Raw genomic sequence first — 17,171 nt, 5'->3', positions numbered from 1 at the left:
GCGCTCTATTTAGATCTAAAGAGGCAGGTAAAAATTTGCCACATGTAACTCAATGCACTGTCTGAAACACAAAGGCAAGAGTGGGAACTCTCTCTAGCTTCCAGATCACAGAGCTTACAAATCATATTCAATAGAGGTCTCCTTCTTGAGAAGCTATGATTTGCCAGGTGAGATATGACAATAAGACAGGCTTTCTCGCTCCTTGGAGAGCTGACAATCCAGTCAATTTAAATTAAATTGCTAAGTTAATTTAAATAGGATATAAGAAGCACTATGATGGAAAAAACAGATGGTGTTCTCAGAGCAGGGATGAGGAACCTTACTTAACTGTGGGTGGTAGGGGGAAAGGGAGGGTCACTGAAAATTTTTCAGAAGTCAAATTGGACTAGGACATAAAGAATGGATAGCAGCATGTAGCTTAAAATTGGGGTATAAGCAGTGGAGGGAAGACTCAGCAGTCTCCCAAATTTATCCCTAACAATATATTTTTTTTTCTCTTTGTCACAGCTGGAATGTTAAGTTGAGAATTTTTCAGCATCTCCCTGTCTGCCAGATCCTATCTGAGATGCCTACGCTAAGAAGCCAACACAGAGACACGCAATGCACACTATCAGCAGGAGTGGCTTGGAAATTCTGACTTGTATTGATTGAGACACCTTCCCACGAAGAAAGATGGGATTAGTAATAAGTTGCTTGTCAGTTACTCATTGGGTTCTTTGCCAGGCAAGGATGAGAGGGCTAAAGTTGAAAAAATCAAAGAAAGAAAAAGGAAAAAAAAAATGCTCACTGTAAATTAATGCTTGTCAAGCTCAACAAGTTGGAGAGCCGGAGGAAAGCTTAATTAAAGTAAACAGACAATTTAAAGTGAGGGAAGTTCAGCCTACCTAGAAGAAAAATTCTAGGTATTAAAACAAATTCATGAAAAGTTAGAAGCGCGCACTGCCATTTATCATTTATTCAAGACATAAGTGGTAATGAAGTTAGCAAACTCTCCCCAGATTTGATGTTAGAATGACTTTGGTTCTTAGACAATGCTGGGCAATTGAAGACAATTGAGCTTGTGTCTGTGAACAGCATCTTTTTTTCTTTTCTTTGACTTTTCTATTCCCCGCCCCACCAGAAACATTACACTACTAATAATACAATCTTCATTCGGCAGGCAGTGGCTCAGTATCTCAGATGGTTGCAGTGCTTGGGGACATTTGACATTTGCTGATTGCTTGGGAGCTTGAGGCTGCCATTTGAAACTCTCAGCATAAAGAATCTAATGTGAAGGAATGAAATGACTTAGACTTGTGAACTGGGAAAAGCCTGTTGGTAAAAGTTGTGCTCTCTATGGTCCACATAGGTAAGAAATAAAAAGACCACACCAGACAGGATGGAATATGAACCAAGGTATCCCAAATATTACTTCTTAAAAGATCTTTTAAAGCATTCACTTGCTTTGACCACATTTTTCTCTAAGCAGTGAGCCTTGCACCAGCTGCCTTCAGCAAGAGAGCTGGAATACACTCTTGTGACTTTGAGTGCCAATATTTAATAGTGTGTGCATTAGGGCCACAGTCCCGGTTTCCGGAATTGCTCTACAGGGAGAAGTCAGGTCAAAGAGAAAGTGTGAACTGGGAATTTATAAGCTGGGTAATCAGTGATAATGGAAAAGGAATAAAGGGTGGGAAAAAAAGTCTGACAGTTCAATTGAATTTTGGTAAAGTATTTCCTGCACATGGCAGATGTTCTGTAGCCCCAAAGACAGCAGCTTTTGGAGCGGAAGATGTAGAGGACTTGTAGAAATTCTTCCAGCCACAACTGCAGGAGGAATCCTGATTGCCTTGCAACCTCTATGTAAACTTAATGAAGCATTTTTAGCTGGATGTTTTTAAAACTGGGTCAAAGAAAGGGGAAAAACACCCTGCATGCTGATGCTACTTTATAATAGATTGAGTAAGTTGTGGTGGTAAATCTGTAAAAGACTTTGCCTAAGCACAGAAGTGAACTGGCACAGCAAAAGCCTTTCTGATAAGCAGAGATCAATACCAGGAGAATATCTAAAATTGGCTTTTCATGCCTAACCTCACCATTGCCAACTGACAACCAGAGCACTGCAGACTGGAGCACCTGCTTAAATCACCCAGGTTTTCACATGGGCAAGAGAAATAGACGAAAATAACGAGAGGAAGGGAGGGAAGCATCTCTCTAGAATATGATTGGCCATCACAAATATTATGTGTTCTTTTTGATCCTTAATGTAGTTTAGTCTACCTGATAAAGAAGCTTTGATGCTTTACGCAGTTGAAAAGCAGAAGATTAGACATAAATAAGTTCTCCCACACCTAAGAGTGAAACAAAGGTCTTTGGGGATGTGCAGGAGGGGATCTTTTGTCCTCCTAAGGAGCCAGGGATATTCTTAGCTCACTTGTAGAAAACCTTAGAGCTGCGTATCCATGCACGTGCACGTGTGTGTTTATATGCATGTATGCATGAGAGAGAGAGAGAGGAGAGAGAAAGAGACTAAAAATTAGTCACTTCACTTTGATTTTTCTTCCAAAGAGCCATCTGAGAATCAAGAACTATGTGTTTCTCAACCTAGCCCCAAGTCAGGCAGCGCTTCTGCATGTACTTAATTCTTTCTAGCTGAGGCGCTGGTTCCAATGGCACTCCTAGCTCGTTGGTTGAAGCTTATTGATGATTCAAAGTTGAGGAAACTTTTTCAATCAGCGATATTGCTGGAAGTGGCCCTTCTGGCACTACCTCTGTGCTTCTATCTCTGGCTCAGCAGATACATGATAATTGCTGAATGTGTCTATGGAAGGAGGAATGGCAAGGCCACAAGAGCTCTGTACAGCTGCTCAGAAGCTTGGGGAGTGAAGTGAGAAATTCCAGTTCCCTTGGAGGGCCTGGGGATGAATTCTGTGACTTCTCATTAGGCCTGTGGTCCTCAATCCATGGTCTGCAGAGCCATTTGTGGGTCTGTGTAAGTGCTACTTGATGGTTTTCTTTTTATGCTTTCAACTTAATAATTCAAAACTAAAACAATGACCAGTTAGAAAGCAAAACTTCCCTTTTGATATTTTCCCTTTTAATATTTGGTATTTTGATAGAACATGATTTTAGGATGATTTTTTTTTTCTAATAGCAGTCCATATTTCTCCATGTGGAGAAATATAATATTGGGTCTTTTTTAGAGGTTGAAGAATTTCTTGGAGTGGCCTCTTTGGGACACTTGTTTCCTCGTTTATTCTGCCTACCATGTATCAGACGGCATTCTGGGTTGATGGGGTAGATCAGTGAATAACACAAACACGTTTCCTGCCCTGGTTGAGCTTATATGTTAATGGGTAGAGGCAAACAGACAATCACATAATCAATAATTACATAGCATGTTAGAAACTCAAAACAAAAAACAAAAGTAAAAGTAAGAAAATAAGCAGGGGAGAGGAAACTGACAGTGAAGATGGTGGATGAGACAGAGGATGATCTTTATTTTTAAACAGCTTGCTCAGAGTAGGATTCATTTTTACAAAAGACAGAAGAGGAAAAGCAGAAAGTTTAGATAGGAGAAGGCATTCACTCACTATCTTAGTCACCCGTAGACCTGGACATTTCCGCCACAGAGACATTTAGTGGGTCACTTGTTGGGCAAGGACATGGACATTGCAGCAGGACATGAACAGAACAGTAAGGCCAGGTGCGGTGGCTCACCCCTGTAATCCCAGCACTTTGGGAGGCCAAGGTGGGCGGATCACCTGAGGTCAGGAGTTCGAGACCAGCCTGACTAACATGGTGACCCGTCTCTACTAAAAATACAAAAATTAGCCAGGCATCGTGGCACGCGCCTGTAATCCCTGCTCCTCAGGAGGCTGAGGCAGGAGAATCACTTGAACTTGGGAGGCAGAGGTTGCAGTGAGCCGAGATCATGCCATTGCACTCTAGCCTGGGTGGCAGAGTGAGACTCTGTCTCAAAACAACAACAGCAACAACAACAATAACAAGGCAGCTGCTTGTGGAACCTGTTGTTGACACTTACCTATTTACAAGTCCACCTAAATCAAACTGGCTGTCCACTCTAGGGACAATTACCAATGATCAGAATCAGGCCAACAATAAAAATTCTAATAAAGGCAAAAGAGAAAACAAGGAGAAAGGGAACAAGTGGGAGAAGCCTCGATTGCCTGCAATTGGATGTTAGGGCCTAAGTCTAACTCACAGAGGCCACAGAGCACCATGCACTTCCTCCTATGTCCAATGCCTTCCAACAGTGTATTAAATTCTTTCCTTGCCTGACCTAAAGTAATAACAGAAAGTGTCACCATCCTGAACAACAAAAGATGGGATGACTTAATTTCTCTTTCTTTCAAAGGCATGTGACAGTGCCCTATTTAATGATAGAAGAGAAGAAACTGGTTCTAGGTAAGAGAAGCCACAATTTATTGCACCCTTAGGAAGACCAGGAGCAAAGCCATTGAGGATAAAATGTACCATGCGGAGTTTTAACCAGTGAAGAGCTGGGCATAGCATTCCACTTAAATAAGTCAGTTCAGAAATTTAGCTCCTCTCTCCAAATACCTACAGTGACTACCCAGAGATGTAGAGCTTAAGTACAGCCACCGCTCTAGTAAGCTCAAGTAAGACCATGCTCAAGTATAATCAATTTCACATTTCTGAATATTTATCAAATATGCAAAAGAAAGAATCAATATCTGAAAAACAGAATCTATGTTTTTTTAAAAAATCACACCTTATTTCACACTTCGGAGCTAAAGAAATACTGTCTCCAGGTGGGGTTTGTCAGCACCTTTGTAAACTAGCTCTTGCATAATTATTGTTGTAGGAACATCCAGGCTCATGGCTGTATCTCTCAACAATAGATTGATGGGGCAACAGCTTCCATGGCCTCCTCCCAGGTCAACCAGCCAGAAACTGGACACCTACCCTGCTGGAAGGGGGCTGATTCACAGCCCTCCCAGGTGGATTAGAGCTTCCTGGCACATCCAGGCTTGTCCATCATGATGTTGTCTACATTCCTTTCCCATCTCTCCTCACGTCCCTCTGGTGACTCATATATACCCCCACTTACCTGCACCTCCCCACTTCCCCTGTAACTCTTCAGTGTTCCTGGGAACTGATGACTTTATCCTCATGAAATTTTATGACAGCGTGCAAGGCTTGAGAAAATCTGAAAATTTTTCCACTTACAAAATCAGAGTCCTGATAAATGTTTCCATGTACAGAATGTGAGTCCTAACAAACAGCCAACACTCATAAAAGCTAACATTTATGGAGCACTTACCATGTGCTGAGCACTTATGAACATTTAACACCCTCATATGTGCTAAGTTCTTTGAAGGAACTGATATGATTTAATCTCCACAATAGCCTTATTGTTATGAAAGAGGATACTGAGACACAGAGAAGTTAAGCAACTTGCTAGTTAAGTAATCTAGTGTCAGAACTGGGATTTGAACCCAAGTAATCTAGTATGTGTCAGAACTGGGATTTGAACCCTAAGCAACTTGCTAGTTAAGTAATCTAGTATGTGTCAGAACTGGGATTTGAACCCAAGATGTTGAGTCTATGTTTTTAACCACTGCATGCTACTGTTATCTACTATCAAAATTGTGTGTTTATGAAACAATTATTATTTATTCAAAGTATCAAGGTATCCATAGTAAAAGCAGTATGGTGGAAAAGCAAATAGAATAGGGTTAAGGAGACAGAGAACTAGCTGGGCTATAGTTTTAGCTTTAGCTGTTTCTGTATCAATCAAGGTCCTAGCATGAAAGCAGATGACACCCAAACCTGGCAATATGAGAGAGTTTAATAAGGGGACTATTTAAACAGTTGTGGTCAAGGTTTCTGGAAATCAGAAGTTATGTCAGTGTGCATGGCTCGAGAAAATCAGCGAATTTTTTCACTTACAGAACCAGAGTCCTAATAAATGTTTCCATGTACAGAATGTGAGTCCTAACAACCAGCAAGTGCTTATAAAAGCTAACATGCAATGATCTAGAGCTAAAAAAAAGTGGAAGTGATTAGAAGAATCCAGAAAGAGAAGACTGTATGGAGAGGGCTACCTGGGAATGTCTGTCTCAGATACAGAAAAACAGCCTGCTATAGCACAATGACAAGGAGGAAGCTGGTAGGAAGTGCTCCTGCCTCTCTCTCTTCCAAGCTGGTAGGAAGTGCCCCTGCCTCTCTCTCTTCCACCTTCTATCTTCTGATCTTCGATCTCTTCCCATTGAGCCAATCAGCTAGAGGATAGAGCACCCACAGATCCAGTCTATAGGGTCAGCTTCCAAGGCAGAGAGCAAGATATTGATGGAATGAAAGAATGTGAAGGACAAACAGAAAATATGCAGCACAGTCACCATCATGGTAAACTGGGACAAATCTCAGCCTCCCTGGGAACTGATTTCTTGGTCATCATAATGACACTATAGGGACCACATGCAATTTAGACTGCCTTCCAACTCTGACACTGTGAGGTTTTATGAACCCACCCTCCATCAATTTCCTAAGAGATTTTCAGGATTACTTTAAAAAGGAAAGTATAAAAGACAACCCCACAGTGCAAACTCTGGTAGATTCTACATCACTTTGCACTTATGTATTGACAGATGCATGAAGGCAAACTGTGGCTGAGGTGGAAGGGCATTTGTCCATGCCACAGGGTAACCAAGGCATACTTGAATGCTCTAAGAAAAAGACTTCAGAATATTAAAATTGTTCCAACAAAGAATTCTTCTAATGTGAAACCCCTTGTTCTCTTTCTGAAGCAAAAGAAAGGGTATATGAGATTAGAGAAATGCAAATCAAAACCACAATGAGATACCATCTCATGCCACTTAGAATGGTGATCATTAAAATGTCAGGAAACACCAGATGCTGGAAAGGATGTGGAGAAACAGGAACGCTTTTACACTGTTGGTGGGAGTGTAAATTAGTTCAACCATTGTGGAAGACAGTGTGGTGATTTCTCAAGGATCTAGAACCAGAAATACTATTTGACCCAGCAATCCCATTACTGGGCATATACCCAAAGGATTATAAATCATTCTGCTATAAAGACACATGCACACGTATGTTTATTGCAGCACTATTCACAATAGCAAAGACTTGCAACCAACCCAAATGCCCATCGATGATAGACTGGATAAAGAAAATGTGGCACATATACACCATGGAATATTATGCAGTCATAAAAAAGAATGAGTTCATGTCCCTTGCAGGGACATGGATGTAGCTGGAAACCATCATTCTCAGCAAACTAACACAGGAACAGAAAACCAAACACTGCATGTTCTCACTCATAAGTGGGAGTTGAACAATGAGAACATATGGACACAGGGAGGGGAACACCACATAGTGGGGCCTGTTGGGGGGTGGGAGGCAAGGGGAGGGATAGCATTAGGAGAAATACCTAATGTAGCTGATGAGTTGATGGATGCAGCAAACCACCATGGCACATATATACCTATGTAACAAAACTGCACATTCTGCACATGCACCCCAGAACTTAAAGTAAAATTTAAAAATATAAAAATAATAAAAAAATAAAAAATATAATATAAAATTTAAAAATATAATAAAAAAAGAAAAAAGAAAGAAAAGGTATATGAGAAAGTACTGCCAAGCATATTTGGAAAACCCAAAAAGAGATGTCTCACATGATTTCATGGGGGTCTATGTCAGGGCAATTTAAAACCCACCCTGTGTTCTCTCAAAGAACCAGTGGCCAACTGCAACTGGTCACTGAATGCAGATGTTTGGCAATACGGCCTTGGTTGGAAGAAAGCTGGGGGTGGGAGTGGGAGGGGTGACTTTGTCTCCCTGGATCATGTGGGGCTTATCTAAGTTGTCCTACAATGTGTTCCTAGGTGCTTGGTGAGGTGCTCCTAGTTCTCAAGGTTTCTCATTGGCAGACTCTTGAGAGAACACTATGCTTGTTGAAATAGAAGACACAGAGTCTCCATGAGGGCATCTGTCCTCCCTAGCTTCTGGGGATACATGTCCTTGTTCCTAACTTCTGAGATAATTGAAGTGTGGGGTTTCAAAGGATGAGGGGATTTCCTCCTGGAGCCTCATATCTCTTCTACTCAGATTGAGGTAAATGAAATTGCACCACTGTGGAACCATCACTTTGTTTTCTCTGGACTCATGAGAGGTATTATAAACCCTATCAGATTTACTGATGATTTTCTCCTTAAATGAGGAGAAACCCACAGCATCTCAGGAACCCACGTTCCTAAACCAAGGGAGCAACAGAAGTCTGTGTATGAGCTTGTGTTGTGGGGTTGAGTTGTGGAAAAGAGAGGTGGGGCATGCTGAAATTAAACTCATTCTGCATCATAACTGTGCCTAGTGTGGCTTAAGGAAGCAAAAAGGAAGTGGGATTACATATATATATATATCATACAACATGGAAACAGCAACTTAGGTTTGTTTGGTTGTGTCTATACTACCCACAGTTCATATACATAAGAAAACAAAGCTTGAGAATTGAAGTGGGTTGAAATACCAACATGTCCAGTTCTAACGGTGTGGCCCTGGATGAGTCTTTTGCCTTGAGTTTCCTTGTTTAAAAAATGGAGCTAATAACAACTGGAATACCTGCCACACAGGGCTGATGTCCTAATAAAATGAGAGCAACTCAATAATACAGTGAAGATACTTTGTAAAACATACGTTGCCCTAGAAAAGTGAGGGGTTATTACCACTCCATTTATACTGATGAGACAGCAGCACCCTCTTTGAAGGCAAATGGTACACCTGAAGATTTGTCAACAAACCCAGCCACCTGCAGCAGAAGACACCAGGAGTTTCACAAAAACCTGTTCAGCATGCTAAATATCACATACAAGCAGCAAGACTAATCCATGTTTTGAAGAAAATTCAGCTAACAGAATGGATCATTTCCCCTGTCTTCCTTTTGCCTATTTTAAAAATGTCTTAACACCAAGCTACAATAAAGGGTAAAGCCAATCCCACGTTTTCATTAGTACACAGAGAGCTACCGCAAATAGGTCTCTGGAGGGTGAAAAAAATGTGACAGATGCAGACAGAGTCACTTGAAAGAGTATTTCAGCAATAGACACAGGATGCTTGACTTAACAGATGTTTACAGTTAATAAATTCCATTTTATATTTATATTTATTTTCACATATTTTTTTTTTCTGGTGAAATACCTGGCAGATATCATGAAGGTAGCAAAAAAAAAATTCAGATCAACAACCTGATAGGAATTAGAAATTAGACTCAGTGAGAAGAATTCACAACTACTGTTAAGACAACTGCGGTGCGAAATCAAATAGTTTCACCGTCAAGTCTCCCATCTCTCCCTTGGTATCCGCTGAAGGGTTAAAGTAAATACTCCAACTACCCTGTCAGTGAGGACAGGTGCTTGCAAAACCCCATCTGCATGCACATCCATCATCCTTACCCAGAGACTCCATCACAACCTTCCCATGGAGAAAACTCACAGACTGAGGTGAGGTACTGCCGGGTCTCCATAAGAGATGATCTGGCTTGCATTCAATTGTGCCAGCAACGCTAATGATCAGGAGAGGTGGGCTCACCATCGGCGTAAGCTGGGAGTGGGCCGCTCTTCGTTTTGTGTTTCCCTCTAACTACAGAAAAATCACCAGCAGTCCCAGTCTGACACAGCTGAGGCCTTCTCCAGCTGGGAAGGAAAAGCATAATAGGCAATATCTGCTCTCTCCCTCCTCCCTTTCTGCTCCCTTCCCTGTAGACAGCCTCAGCATGAGGTTCCTGAGGAATTAGTTGGGGAGGACGCCTCCCCCGCTGCCAGCCAAATGCCAACCGCAAGTCCTGCCCATGTAATGTCTCTGACATTTCTGCATCTTTCTGGGTTAACGTTGTTTGACACAGACTTTTTTTTTTTTTGAAATATCTCTTAAAAAGGTTTGTTCATGTGCATGTGTGTACATGTGTGTGCAGGAATGCACAATTTCTGTTGTTTTCTGACATCACTGTGTATACTTAATTTTTTTTTTTAAATTATTCTCTTAGTTGCTGACACATCTCTGCTCTGGCATTTCCACTTAGGCAGAAGTAATTGGTTTCAGAAGGCTGAAAACCCTTATTTGAAACCATGTGCGCATTCCTGTTGACGGATGCTATAGAATGTTCAAATATCATCTTCCCTCAAGTAAAACAAGCGTTAAAATCCAGAAGGACGAGATGTGATTGACAGCACAGCATAGTTACATTTTAACTACCTGTTGTGAAATTATTTTAAAGCACCTGTATGTGAAATGGGGTCAGTTCTCCTTCCTGGTCGGTTACCTTTAGATAGATCTGATCAAGTTTGAAAGGGATTATTTTTCCTTTCCTGTACTGGAAAGCACTTTACCTCTTTTATTGTGTTTCCTAACGTGCAAAGGGCCAATAAAGCAGAGATCTCTCTCCAACACTCACACAAGGTGCAGTATCTTATAGGGAAACAACTATCCATCATGTCTGGAAGGAAAGTATAGTTGCAGTCTGCATATCCCAAAAGTAGGGCTTTTGGATATTTTTGTAATTTTCTTTTTTTTAAGGGAATGTCATAGTGTAGCTGCTGAAGTGGATATTATCAATATGGCAGACAAAGTAAATTCTACCAAGAAACAATGCATCCCAACTCCATATACTGTGAGGAAGGAAACAGGATGACTATGCATGGTTACAGCAGAATGACTGACGGAGCATAATGGCTCATTACCAAAGACTCTGGCACACCTGCAGGAAGGCACCTCTGCCTGCATTAGGTACTACCACAGAATCTGTCTGTTATGCACCATGGAATACACCATGATCAGTGAGCTCTTCAAAGACCATTCTGGAAACCCGGGGCAGAAATACTATCCACCTATGTGATGGCCACCTGAAGGCAACATGTCAGCATGTTTAAGCCTCCCAAATTGACGATAGGACATTCATGAGTTCAAATCCCAGCTTTGTCACCTACTAACTGTGTGATTTTAGGCAAGTGACTTACCCACACTGTGCCTCAGTTTCTTCATCTGTAATATGGAAATAATAACAGAAGCAACATCAACAGGTTATCATGAAGATTGCATTAATACATGTAAAAACACAACTCACTGCTTTTCACAATCAATATTACCAACATCCAGTCTCTTCCTAATTACTCTTTGCACAAGGGAAATCAGATCCCATCCTATTCTTGGCTACATATTGTTGTCAGAAATTTCTCCTCCACACTGAGCCCAAATTAAGCTCCTGGCAATTTCAATCGATTTACCCCAGGTCTATTAGGAAATACAGAGCCAGGATAGTCTCATTTCTTTTCCTCTGACAGTACTCCACAATATTTGAGACAGCTGTAATGTATCCCTAAATCTCCTTCAGACCAACCCTTCCAAGTTTTTAGCAACTTTTCCGTATATAGCAGTCTTCCTGGGTTTTTCTTCATCCTTACCATTTTTCTTTGCATGCATTCAGATTTGTCAACATCCTTAAATTGCATAATCTCAAACGAAACATAATTTTCTGGGTGTGGTCTAAGAATGCAAACTCCTAGGAAACCATTATCTTTCTAAGTCCAGATATGCCATTTCTTTAATTGTAGAAACCACGGGGTACAGTCAAAATTCTCGTTCAAATAGCCAACCATCCCCTTGGCTAAAAAATGTGTTTCTAGATACTTAGAGGAATTAAGGAGTTCTCTCTACTTTTCTGGCATCAGTATGAAGGACACATTCAAGTACTCTCTTGTGTATAGACCCATATAACTAAATCCTTGCAATGCTAGGCTAAACCTGTAAAATCAGTTCACAGCTCTCCTGGATGGAAATCTATATCTGAAACTGAGTTTGCAGAACATCTGGGGGATCAGTCAGCCTAACCACTTTATTTTTCCAAAGAAACTCAGAGAGCTTAGGTGACTAGCCACGCTCACGTATAGGTGGAGCTGAGAGTTCAGCCAATGTGAATGAAATCATGGGCTAGAATATTCCCAATGACTCCCAACATGACCAGCTGAACATTTTTCTTGCTCATGGTTTCAGTATAACCTAGCCTACTTCTTTTCAGCAGAGATCCATCAGTAAAGCTTGGTAGGTTTTCCATCACAGCTAACTAGTGCACTTTGTTGGCTCTGTAGTCTCACTGAAATAGAACCCTATGTGGGTGTGGTCACTGGTAGATGGTAAGCAGGGTGCTCACACAGGTGTTTCAAGAAGGGGGTTCCAATAGGCCAGGTACGGTGGCTTACACAAGTAATCCCAGCACTTTGGAAGGCCAAGGTGGGTAGATCACCTGAGGTCAGGAGTTTGAGACCAGCATGGCCAACATGGCGAAACCCCATCTCTACTTAAAATACAAAAAAAAAAAAAAAAAAAAAAAATTAGCTGGGCATGGTGGCGGGCACCTGAAATCCCAGCTACTCAGGAGGCTGAGGCAGGAGAATTGCTTGAACCCAGGAGGTGGAGGTTGCAGTGAGCTGAGATTGCACCACTGTACTCCAGCCTGGGTGACAGAGTGAGACTCCATCTGGAAAAAAAAGAAGGAAAGAAGGGGCCCCAAGAGCTGCATGAGAACTTTGTGTAAGTCCTTCTAAAAGCAATTCATTCTGAATTTCTTAGGATGAAAGCATCATACCCATATTTATTTGCACAATCGTGTGCGCGCATGTGTGTGTGTGTGTGTGTGTGTATTATTTTCACAGAAACTACGCGTCCTCAAGAAGACAGACTTGTCTCTCAACTCTTCCTGGCTTTATGGACTGACAGATGACCTGGAAGAGAAATAGAGGAATTCACTTACTCCAGTCTAAAAGGGAATTACATATATAACCATAAAACCTGCTTTCTTCTTGCCTGACAAAGATAATGTGAACTGGAACAGAAAATGTATGTGTATGTGAAGCTTAAAAAAAACCAAAACAGTGGGAAAGCTACTTTTAAAGCAATTTATTAATCTGGAAACAGTTGTATCTAAAAATCTAAATAACAGCAAACAAGCCCAAAACAAAACAAAACAAACCTCAGGCCACTACATTCCTTGGATCCTGTTTGTCATCTAAGAAGCTATTTCCCTGATTTTCTCTGCAAAAAGTGACCTCTCTCTTTCTCACTTTATCTTGCTTAATTCTCATGGCACTATCACATGCAACACTGTAATAATTCTGTGTACACATGTCCACTCCCTTACTAGATTGTAAACTCCCAAAAGACAAGGATAAATTATCATGCTATCCTCTGCCATCATGCCATCTTGCAGTGTGACAACCTCCTATCGGTCCTCTCAATATCACTCTTACTGTCTTTATAATCCTTTATTCACATGGCAGGCAAAATGATCTTTTAAAAACAAATCTGGTCATTACACTCCCTTCTTAAACATCTGTCACTGGCTTCCTGTTTTGTTAAGGCAGAGTCCATAGGGTTCTTACCTCTTTAAGAACCTCTTTAAGGTGATCCATGAAACCTTGTAAGGTCTGGTCCTTGCCCAGTTCCTACCATGTATTTCCCTCCTCTCCCCTGCTTCCTCTCTCCACCCTGGCAACCCTGTCCTTTCAACTCCTGGAATACATCATTTTTCCTCCCAGTTCACATACACTCCTCTCCCTCCCTGTGGCTACCTTCTACTAATCAGTTTACTTCTTTAAGGAAGCCTTTCCTGATATCATATGCAAGTCAGGTCCTCCTGATGTTACATGCTGTCATTCTATTCTATAAATTTTCTTCAAGACCTTCCCAAAGCACATTTCCTGATACACTGGTGGAATATGATATAATGGCACCAGAAAAATGTTAAGCTCTAGGTTTTCAGAAACCTTCTAAACAGCCATGTTATGCTATAAAATAACAGTCCTGACATACTTCTGGAGGTTGGGGGAGAAACCACTGTAATGCTGAATCAGCTACCCACATCATTTTTATTAAAAAAAGAAAACCCCAGGCTGGAATGTGTACATCAGTGGCAGACTGGTTCCTTTGGTTAATGAGTTTAATATTCAAAAAGGCTCCCAGAGGTCTAGAGTGAGGATCAAAGTGTAGGTGTACCACTATCGTGTGTTCTAGGAGCCCCTTGGCCGTCCTTGATTAACTGCTTCTATGGTATACCAATCACCCCAGCAGAAAATGCCAGGTCATCACTGATGCTTCCCATCTGGACTCATCCCCTTTATAACATGGCTCACAACTCCAGAAAATGCGCAGGTCAAAAGAAGAGGACCACTACAGGATGACGAGGACAATGCCTTTGTCAAGAATTACTCAGGATATCAAGAGTCAAGGAGAAACATGCAAACTCTGAGAATCAGACTCCCTACCCTGTCAACGCCTGGCAAACACCTGCTGCTCTCTCTGTAACAGGCCTATATGGACAGCAGCTGCAACCCGTAACAGCGTAGGGCAAGGGAAGGGTGATGGGGAAATTCTATTCATTGAGCACCTACTGTGTGCCAGCTCCTCTACTGTGGGCTTTACACTCAGTTCATCGTTTAATCCAAAGCGTCGTTTGGCTCATTCTTTCCCTCTTTAGAATCCTCGAGGTGGGCCATTAACATTCCCCGAAGATAATGAACCATTCCTGCAGTTCACCCCGGTATGCCTTCTAACCTTGAAAAAATCATCTCCATTGCTTTTGACAAAGTCTAATACACCTGGTCAAAGCAAAGGGAGATGATGATGGTGAAGAGGATTTTATCAGAATAGGCAATGTAGCCAGAGATTGAGCCAGTTCCAGATCCCAAGTTTCTCCTCAATTCTTCTCCCTCAGAAAAAGGCAGATCTCTTTATTGATAAACTATACATGGTTTATAAGATTTAGGATGAAAAGCAAAGACACTCATTTAAAAATATAGGTTTCAAATGCCAGTGCACAGTCATTGACTGATTTAACTTTGCCTCCCCTTCTTCTCATGCTGATCTCAAAGATGTGGGTCCCAGGAATCAGTCTTGAATGTGCAAAACTACTCAGCCCATTATAAATATTGCTCTCTTCCCATTGATTTTTTTTTTTTTTGAGATGGGGTTTAGCTCTTTCACCCAGGCTGGAGTACAGTGGCATGATCTTGGCTCACTGCAACCTCTGCCTTCCGGTTTCAAGCGATTCTCCTGCCTCAGCCTCCTGAGTAGCTGGGATTATAGGTGCCCACCACCACACCCGGCTGATTTTTGTATTTTTAGTAGAGGCAGGGTTTCATCAAGTTGGCCAGGCTGGTCTTGAACTCCTGACCTCATGATCTGCCCGCTTCGGCCTCCCAAAGTGCTGAAATTATAGGCATGAGCCACCGTTCCCAGCTTCCTTGAATTTTTATTCCCTTATGTTCATCTTATTGTGGATATATGAACATCTTTTATTTTTTTCTTAATTACTGAAGTGTCAGTCTTTAAAAGGCAGGAATAATGTCTTATTTAATCTCTCTGTTCATATCCGTTCTTAGTATAATGCCTTGTATAGTCTTTGTCTCAAATAACACTTTTTTGTTGTTTTTGTTTTTCCTCGGTTTCTCTATTATTATGGTAAAAGTGATAATTATTCCAAGAAATATGTAATGAAACCAGTATGTCTAATTTCATTTTTTAAAAAAATGAAGATACAAATACAAAAATAGGCTGGACATGGTGGCTTACACCTGTAATCCTAGCACTTTGGGAGGCTGAGGGGAGAGAATGGCTTGAGACCAAGGATTTGAGACCAGCCTAGGCAATATAGCAAAACTCCACCAATATGATTTGGCTGTGTCCCCACCCAAATCTCATCTTGAACTGTAATCCCCACAGTCTTCATGTGTTGAGGGATGGATCCGGTGGGAGGTGATTGAATCCTGGGGGTGGTTTCCGCCGCGCTGTTCTCATGATAGTGAGTGAGTTCTCACAAGATCTGATGGTTTTAAGTGTTTGGCATTTCCCCTACTTGCACTTCTCTCCCCTGCCACCATATAAGACATGCCTGCTCCACCTTCTGTCATGATTGTAAGTTTCCTGAGACCTCCCAGCCATGTGGAACTATGAGTCAATTAAACCTCCTTTGTTTATAAATTACCCAGTCTTGGGTAGTATCTTAATAGCAATGTGAAAATGGATTAATAAACACACACAAAAAGAGCCAGGAGTGGTGGCATGTGCCTGTAGTCCCATGTAGTTCCAACTACTGAAGAGGCTGAGGTGAGAGGATTCCTTGAGCCAAGGAGGTAGAGGCTGCAGCCAGCTATGATTACACTACTACGCTCCAGCCTAGGTGATAGAACAAGATCTTGTCTCTTAAAAAATTGTCCTCTAAAAAAAATCATTCTTATTTTAATGGAAAACCAGTAGCTTATACAGATAGAAATTTTTTTGCACACTGACACCTTTAATATGGGTCAATGAAACTTGGTGCAATTATAAAAACTTTTCAATCCGTACCACAAAATAATTTGACCAAAATGTAGGGTGGAAGCAATTGTATATGCTCTTCTTACCAAAAAAGAGAAATAAAGACAAATAGGAGAGTGACAGATGGAAAATATTTCTGTTAATGACTACAGGCAATTGAAAGGAAAAAGGGTAACTAATTCTTCAGTAGAAAGTGGTACAGGAAAGTACATGTTCAAAAAGCAGATTTGATAGGATGTGGGGATTATGAAAGGTAAAACTAGACTTTTATCCTAGAGATCTTTCAGGAAAAACGATCACATACCTAAAGGTTTCTGACAACTGGAAAGTAACAGAAATTAACCAGAGAAGCTTCATAAGAAACTGTGCAAAGAATTGAGAAAATAGAGAGAGAGGGACTTGAAATGAAATTCAGTGTGTTACTTAAGGTAATAAAAACAGAGATAAGAATAGGAAGATACACTTATTTATTCAAATAAATGTCAGAAATAAGATTACCTGTTGTGTCCTAATTCATGAAATAATTGGAAAAATAGTCATAGGATACTGTTGACAATGAAGACCAAATTTATGGCAAGTAACAGAAAAAGCAAATTCAGTCCTTAGTCCCTTCAAATGAAAGGGATGTCATTTTCTTCCCCACAAAGAGAAGACATCCCCACATCCCCATGATCAAATGACTCAGAAAAGTCTCGATCAATGTTACCGAAATGTGGCAAAAGTATTCACATTTGAGCTGAGTATCAGCGTGAGGTATTACAACCCAGAGGCATATCTTTGAGAAAGTTGTAGGGGAACATAAATAGATTCTTAGAATAGAAATG

General features: G+C 41.0%; 1 protein-coding gene across 24 annotated transcripts in view; it reads right to left on the bottom strand.

The window, feature by feature from the left end:
- The window catches only part of TENM2 (teneurin transmembrane protein 2), a 1,285,129-nt gene that overhangs the window by 499,528 nt on the left and 768,430 nt on the right, over positions 1 to 17,171 (bottom strand). For 6 of the 24 annotated variants that reach the window (XM_017009664.2, XM_047417424.1, XM_047417425.1 and 3 more), the window contains exon 1: positions 9,438 to 9,701. The exons of 14 other annotated variants lie outside the window; for them this stretch is intronic. In XM_017009664.2, the coding sequence (XP_016865153.1) occupies positions 9,438 to 9,576 (139 nt within the window). In that variant the 5' untranslated portion in view covers positions 9,577 to 9,701. Of the gene's footprint in view, positions 1 to 9,437; positions 9,857 to 17,171 lie in introns of those variants that run through there. 4 more of the 24 variants (XM_017009663.3, XM_047417421.1, XM_047417422.1 and 1 more) reach the window with 1 other exon arrangement.

This window comes from Homo sapiens, chromosome 5, assembly GCF_000001405.40.
Source record: "Homo sapiens chromosome 5, GRCh38.p14 Primary Assembly".
Lineage (NCBI taxonomy): Eukaryota > Metazoa > Chordata > Mammalia > Primates > Hominidae > Homo > Homo sapiens.
The sequence above is the reverse complement of the archived record's forward strand: the minus strand, read 5'-3'. Positions and strand labels throughout refer to the sequence as shown.